Source organism: Homo sapiens, chromosome X (genome assembly GCF_000001405.40).
Source record: "Homo sapiens chromosome X, GRCh38.p14 Primary Assembly".
Taxonomy (NCBI): Eukaryota; Metazoa; Chordata; class Mammalia; order Primates; family Hominidae; genus Homo; species Homo sapiens.
In genome coordinates, this window is record NC_000023.11 from 131,402,404 (window position 1) to 131,410,723 (window position 8,320).

General features: G+C 36.2%; 1 long non-coding RNA gene across 1 annotated transcript in view; it reads left to right on the top strand.

Moving 5' to 3' along the window:
• LOC107985705 (uncharacterized) overlaps positions 1 to 5,837 on the top strand; it is a 32,916-nt gene extending 27,079 nt beyond the window's left edge. The window contains exon 3 of the long non-coding RNA XR_001755967.2: positions 3,916 to 5,837. This is a non-coding gene — a long non-coding RNA (uncharacterized LOC107985705). The remainder of the gene's footprint in view (positions 1 to 3,915) is intronic.

Consider the following 8,320-nt stretch of genomic DNA (forward strand, 5'->3'; position numbering starts at 1 on the left):
AACAGATAAAAGGTCATTCTCTGTCACTGTGTTTGAGCTATATGATCTTGAGCAAATTGCTTGCTCTTTTTGGGTCCTAGTTTCTTCATCAATAAAATGGAGCAACTAGACTAGGTGGTCTCTGAGGCTCTTTCCAGCTATGAGCTCTAATTTCCTATGGCTCTGTGAGTCATACTGTACACAGATCACTGATTATTCTCAACACCTAATAGAGAAGCTGGGAGAGCAAATTTCTGTGGTCTATGCTATACAAACCACTCCACCTTTCTCTGCTCTTTCAGCCCTCACTGCATCAGAAATGTCATATTTACTTTCGGTCTCTGTTCAAGGAACTAAAGACCACTGAGGGAAGAGCATGGGAGGGATGTTTTCCAAATTTCCTAACTACCTTAAGGCAGAAAGAACATGGTCAAAGATCTTGTCAAAGCATCCAGGCACATCCTAATAGTATGATTGGGCAAACTGCTCAACCTCTTTGCCATCAATTTGCTTGTCTAAAATGGAAATAATGTTACCTAATTTACACGATTATTTTGATGATTAAATAAGACAAAATACATAAAGTGCTTAACTGATATCTAGGTGCTTAATAAATGTTGCCTTTGCTGCTCCTCCATTTTTATGGTATGATTCAACTTAGATAAAATGTCCAGAAATAGACAAATCTACAGAAACAGAAGGCAGATTAGTGGTTACCAGGGTCTTGAAGAGTGGTACAGGAATGGGTGGCATGGAATTTCTTTTTCAGGTGATGAAGATGTTCTAAAATTGATTGTGATGGTGGCACACCACTGAATATACCAACAACTATTGAACCACATACTTTTTTTTTTTTTTTTCAGATGGAGTCTCACTCTATCAATCACCCAGGCTGGAGTGCAGTGGTGTGATCTCAGCTCACCACAACCTCTGCCTCCTGGGTTCAAGTGATTCTTCCACCTCAGCCTCCTGAGTAGCTGGGATTACAGGTGCCTGCCACCAGGCCAGCTAATTTTTGTATTTTTAGTAGAGGTGGGGTTTCACCATGTTGGCCAGGCTGGCCTCAAACTCCTAACCTCAAGTGATCCACCCACCTCGGCTTCCCAGAGTGCTGGGATTACAGGCGTGAGCCACCACGGCTGGCCTGAATTGCATACTTTAGATGTGCGAATTGTATGGTATTTGAATTATATCTCAATAAAGCTGTTACCAAAAAAGAATCATGATGAATATTGGGGGAAAAAAGGGTTTATTATAGATCAGTCATCCTTGGATACATCTAATCTACTGACCTACAGCAGAGTTCTGGTAAGCACTGAATGAGATTATCAATTTAAGAGTACTTTGAAAAATTTAACACTGACAAAAGAAATGTATTCAGATGATAAAATCATAATTGGAGAAATAAAGAAAGACATGAATAAATGGAGACACAGTACTCCTGATGGGCAAGGCTAAAACTGTGAGAAAGACAGACAATACTCTTTAAGTTAATGTATAGACTTAATGCAATACCAACTAAATATTCTACAGGATACTTTACAGATCATGACAAACTTATAGTGAAATTCATCTGGAAGAATAAAAAGACAAAGATGCCAAAATATCTTCTTTTGTGTAATGATGGTAGATAGTCTCTCAGGTTTTAAACTTTATTACAAAGCCACACATATACAAAGACTCTTTGGCATTGGGTCAAAAGCAAAAATTGATCAAGGAATAGTGTATTTTAGAGAAAGAGAGCCAAACTCTTATATTAAAAAAATTTTTTCTGGTAGGCTAAAACACACACATAAAGGGAGCAAAAACAAGTAAATGCTATTGGGAAAATTAGTAAGAAAAGTGAAGCTGAATATGTAACACATCATATGCTTTAATAAAATTCAGATAGATTAAAAGTTAAACATAAAAATCTAAGCGTGAAACTAGGAAAAGAAAAACATAACAGCATTGTTTCTCTAGCTATTGTGGCCATTGAAAAAAATGAGGTGTCATCAAAGCCAGAATGATGTGTTCAGAACCAGGATGGTGGGTTCAAATATATGACTAAAAATCTTTTGCGTGCTGTACTATAGTAAAATGAAGATCAAAAAAGAAATAATCAAAAGGGAAAAATATGCTGTGAGCAGAACTTTTATTAGGCTGGTGCAAAAATAATTGTGGTTTTTACCATAAAAGTAATGGCAAAAACTGCAATTGCTTTTGCACCAGCCCAATAAAACACACTAGTCAAAACAAATAAAGAAATAATAAAACATATAAGATCAATGTATGAAGCTCACTTGATACATTCTCATGGTCAAAGAGAATGGATAGCATGCGCAGTAGAGAACGCATTGAGTATAAAATTACATAACAAAACATACAACTTCAGCAAAACACAAATTAAAACACAAAGCTTTCCCCAACTTGGCAGGCATGTATATAATAAAGACAACTGTTTGTTAGGAAATAGGTAACCATGTAAATTATTACTGGCAATGTTCATTTCCAGAACATATTATAACAATTTGCCCAGGTAATTTCATTTAGATATTATATCTTTCACTTCCAAAGATATAAAATAAATGAAAATAAGTTATGCAAAAATGTTCATTATGTTGCTATTTAAATATTCATCTACTGTATACATATATCTGTAAATCACCATGTTATATGCTTAGGGGATTCATTTATGTATAAGGCACTGCAATCACTGCCCTCATGGAACCTATAATATAACAGGAAAGGCAATGTATGTTTAACTTTTTCTTTCATGGAAATAAAGGCAAAGTACTACAGGAACAAAGAAGAGGGACTGGGGAGTGGACCAGGGTGGGGTGGGGAGAAGAAAGGTTTCATGGAGGAGGTAGCACTGAACATAGGCCTTGAAAGGTGAGTAGAGTTTGATGAAGGATGAGAGTGGTTAAAAGAGGAAAGTTCATTCCATGAAAAATTCCAAATACCTAATAACTGGGGGATGGATAAACACACTTTTGGATATTAACAGACTAGATATCTATGTAATCACCAGAAACAACCAAAAAAAAATATATTTGTGAACTAACTTCAAGACACATAAAACCATGTCTGTACATTAAAAAGGTTAGGCGGGCACTCAGCATGCTGGATATCCACAATGTTTGATTCAGTAAGGTTGCTCAAGTTCCAAAATTTTAAAAAGTCAACAACACTATATAAAGGTGAGTGCTAAGTCAAACTTACAGGCATTTGCTCTGATCTTTCTCTGGGATTAAACTCTCAGGGTCAGGAGCGCTGTGAGCACTGGGTTCCTGCAATGTCTTCAGAAAGTAAGAGTGGTAGTTGCTTGTGGTTACCGCAGGGGGCTGTATTCTGTGCTTCCTCCGCTCTTATATCTCATATGAACACAAGTTATCTGCTTGATGGGTCACTTTCTCCCCCACCCCACCACACCTTCAGCCTCTCTCCCCCTCACACCCTAGCCCACTAAATCCTCTTCTATTTCAACAAAACAATCGCAATGTCTAGTTTCCCAAATCCGTGCGTAATGGTACAGGAGTTAGGAGTGCTCAGAACATCTGTCTTGTTTTACTAAGTCTACTGACGGGGAAAAAGAACAGCAGCCGGGATTGGGAACCTTAGTTTATGTAACCTTGGAATTCATCGGCTCTGATTTCTGCCTGCTACATTCTTACCCAAATTTATTGTGTGTTCCCTCTGCAAACATAAAATAGAAATGTGAAAAGCAATTTAGGATTACTCAAAGAAAAACTTGTCTCTCTGCCTGAAGTTTTTCAAGTTATAGGTCCCAGTCAGACACGTGAAAATAGACCAGTTTTTATTGTATGGTCAAAATCAGTGGCTGTCAGTGAAAAGGCCCATCCCACTGTTGATGCCGCCTCCACACTTTGTGGGATTTCAACAAATTGCACAAGGCTATCATACTCATCTACAATTTCTTGTTATTTTTTTAAGGAGATCTTCAGCATTTCACCCATCTCCCCCAATTATTTCTCCTGGAAAGACTGAGGCATTTAGCTTCTTGGACTTCTCTCCATATAAATGGCCACTCATGGGCCAACTAACTGTGTGGTGTTCAAGACAAACAATATACATCATGTAATAAAGAATCATTCTCCCCTGAGGGAATCTGAGACTAATTGAAAGGTTACTGTGTAATAGGCTCCATTTTCTTAATCATATCTTGTGTTTGTGCAAATGTTAAAAAAAAAGCCTCCCACCAATGTATTTTTATCCAAATGCTGCTCAATTCTATTATAATAATTTTATTGTCCTAACATCCCTGTGAAATCAGTAAACCAGTGATGGAACAAACAGCTCTGCGTTGGTTTGAATCAGGCACTATGTTCAGGTTCCCAAATTAGAAGGAGCAGTGGTCAGATTGTCTGAAGAGATGGACACTGGCCGTGGCACTAACTGGTTATCTAACCATTGTCTAATAATGGTCCTCATTTCCTCTTTTGTAAATCAAGAGATTGGAGAGACAATTTGCAGAAGTTTTTTTCCACTTCTAAGATTCAATGAGTCAAAGTTTGGAGACTTATTTCAGAGGCAACCAGCTATGTACAAAATATAGCATTACAAAATAGAAAATATGTTGGCTTTGTAGCAAAAATACTTGGGCCTGAATCTTGGATTTACCACTAACTAGTAGTGTTACTTTGGCCGAGTCACCCTCTCTAATCCTCACCTTTCCTCTATAAAATGGAAATAAAAAGCCCTTATATGCTTATTGCGATGATTAAATAAGAAAACATACATAAAGCAAATGGCATGTGACGGATTCTCAATAAATGGTAGCCACACTTAACTGCTTCATAGGCCAACTGGAGCATTGTCTCCAGAACATATTTGTACATTTCTTACCTATAAATATTCTTTCTATATCTAAAAATAAACATGGATCTTCTCCACTTTTTCAATTAAAGAATGGATTATCAAGAGTGTAATTACTATATTAACAACTCGATTTTACATATGAGGAAAATGAAGTTTATATGACTAGTCCGAAGTCACACAGAGAGTTAATGACAGAGCTGTCTAGGATCCAGGTCATCAAATCCCAGGATGGTATATTTTACACACCCAACTGATACTCTTTCCAATAGGCCATGTTGCTATTAACAGTTTGTGGTGTCAGACAAAAATAATAATGATTTTTATACACTATATTAGCTAAGTCTATTAAGAACAGAAAAACAGAATACTGGAAATCTGAGTAACTCAAGCTAAAACACTTTTTCTAAATTTCAAGACAAAATAACTAAACAAACAGAAACATTTGAGTAATCGAGGGAGCAGCAAGACAGATGAATGTCACTATTTGTCTCCCCATATCTACCTTTGTCTCCCTTCAAGTTAGTCTGATCATCTGAATGAAGGGTACCACTGTTTAGCCAGAAACCTACAAGAAATCCTTAATAGCTTTATATCTCCTTCTATTTCACCTCCTCCCTTACCTAAATGTAACCAAGTCCTTCTAATTCTATCTTCTAAATTCCTCTTAATTCTGGTCAATTCTTTGTACCTCGCTTTAACAGGTCATAATCTTTTCTCACCTGGACTACTACAACAACCTGTTACTTCGTCTCCATTTTTTGGCTGTTCTTACTACCTAAAAATCAATTATGTATAGCTAGTTGATCTTTTTAGATGTAAACAAGAATATGTACCAAAACTTGAAATTTTATGTAGTAAAATTTTATTTGTGTAACTTGTCTTGTACACCACTTTTCTTCGAGTTGCTAATTATCTCATTTTTATTTGACTAACTTGCTATATGTATATATCTATTTTTCCACAAATGCTATCAGATGTTATGACTACAAATATATTTTTCAAAATAATAAAATATGCAAAATTAATTTATTCAAAAACTTACTGGATGTCTATTATGTCCTAGACACTAGGGATGTATAGTCAACAAGACAGACAATGTCCCTATTCTCATAAACATGTATACTAGTGGACAGAGAAAGATAATTAGCAAACATATAAATATATAATACAATGACAATGCTATAATGAAAATGTTAAAGGCCATGATGAAAAATAAATAAAAGTTTATAGTTAAAGAGAGTGAACCAGGCACTCATACTTATCTATAAATGACATAAGATAATTATTTTAGTGGCATAAACCCATGAGGAAAAAGAAAAACAGGAAAGAGTATGAGACAGCAACTTTTAGGAATAGAAAGGCAAAAGAGCAAATATCAGCTGATTAGCAGGCCTAATAAACTGGAATCTTAAACCAGCATTGAGGAAATTAAGAACAATTTGCACCAAGGAAGCATCAGGTACTTCCGTAAGTGAGGGCGAAAGTGGAGCTGAAAACAGAGGGATTGGTTGAAAGATGGTTTAAGAACCAATAAGCTTCCAATTCCCCTCCTTCATTATTCACAGCTCATCATTACCCTACATACTTCTCTCTTACAGAAGAGTGGAGATTTAGTCTCTGATAAATAAAATACAGAGTGTTAGGATTGGGTGTCTCATACAGAGCTGAGTGTGAGATTAAGTGAACATCTAGCTATATACTACATATTGAGATCACCAACCGTCTTTTCTTACATGGCTCCCAAAAACCTAGAACCAAGGTCTATATTTCCCACAAGGAAAAGTGGAAGATTATTTACTGAGAAAATCTGAGCAACTTTATAGTAAATTATGTAAAAATAATTAGAAGATCACCAAAGGAAGAGAGCCAGCTAAATCATCCTATAGTGACACTCACCATGACAAAAACTTTTAATCAGCTTTTTTGTGTCCCATTCAAACATAACCAAACATCTAAGGATTCCCAGATGTGATTTTTAAAAATTCTATGATGAAGACAAGGAAATAAAACAATTTAAGAAAAGAGATTGCAGTGAAATGATCACTTACAAATCATTAGGATTATTAGAAATATGAAAGAAGACATTGTAGTCATTAAAAAGAACAGTATACTATTAAAAATGAACATTAAATAAAAGAACTCTTAGATATTTTAAATGAGAGCAGAAATGAAATTTCACTAGAAGTAGTGAAATTTTATGGAAATTTTATGGAAAAACCAGACCAAAGAGACAAAAACATAGAAAATAAGAAATAAAATATTTTTAAAATTAGAGAATCAAACCAGGAGGTCCAACATAGGAATTGTAGGTTTTCATGAAAGAGAAGAGAGCAAATGGAGGAGACAAAATTATGAAATAAATCAATCAAAAAATCCCAGAACTGAATAAATGGTTTCTAGATTAAAAGGGAAATTGAGTTCCTAACAAAATTGATAAAAGTTGACCCACACTAAAACACACCATGTTTAAAGTTAAGAACATTGGACACCAAGCAAAGATTATATTTGAATGATGGAAATTGAGCAGAAAGGCAAAGGTAAGTAAGGGCCAGAGATGACCATAATTGCACGGGAATGTGTACCACTACTATATCTAACCCATCGAAGTTTACCTGCTTTACTCTAAAAGGATATTCAGTATTCAAAGGCTTCTCTCTATTTTCACTGTTCCATCTTAGTCCAATCCACTATTATCTTTCTCTTGGATTACTACAATAGCCTGTAACTGGTCTCTCTGCCTTCACTCTGGTTCCCTATAGCCCATCCCCCAGACAGCAGCCAGAAGTGGAAATTGCAGTGTAAATCAGACCCTTTCTCTCCTCTTCTTAATCTCCCAATGGCTTTTCATTTCATCCAAAATTAAATCCAAATTCTTCACACTCGCCTTCTAGACTCTCCATAATATGGCCCTTGACTGCCTTTTGACCTCATCATTAGTCTTTTTCACTACTTTTAGCCACACTGATCTTCTTCATGTTCTATGTACATGCCCAGCACATTTACAACTTAGGGCTTTTGCACCTGCAAGTCTTTTCCTTAAGATCTTTTCATGGCTTGCTCCTTCTCATAACTTAGGTCTCAGCTCATTTGTCACTTTCTCAGAGAAAAATTTCCTAATCAGCTTATCTAAAGTAGTCACTGAGAATTCTAGCAGGGGCTTCAAGATAGCTAACTAGAAGCATCTTGTGCTCACCTCCTCCACTAAGAAGAAGGAAAATAATGAGTAAATTGTCACATTTCAAATAAATCATCCAAGAGAGAATGCTGGAATTCAACAGAAAAGTGATAGGAAACACCTAAAGCAAGGACAGAGAGGAAAGCAAGGCAGCCTGCTCAGTTGAGATTGGCTGAAAGCCTAGAGATACTCCCCAATGTGTGGAAAGAGTAAGTGAGGGACCCTCAGCAGACTACATTCCCACTGTGAACTCCTGAAATCCTAGCCACAGAAAAACTCCTAGACTCTCACGGGCCTGAAATTAACATAGGGAGCTGCCTGTAGACAACATGAAAGCATTGTTTT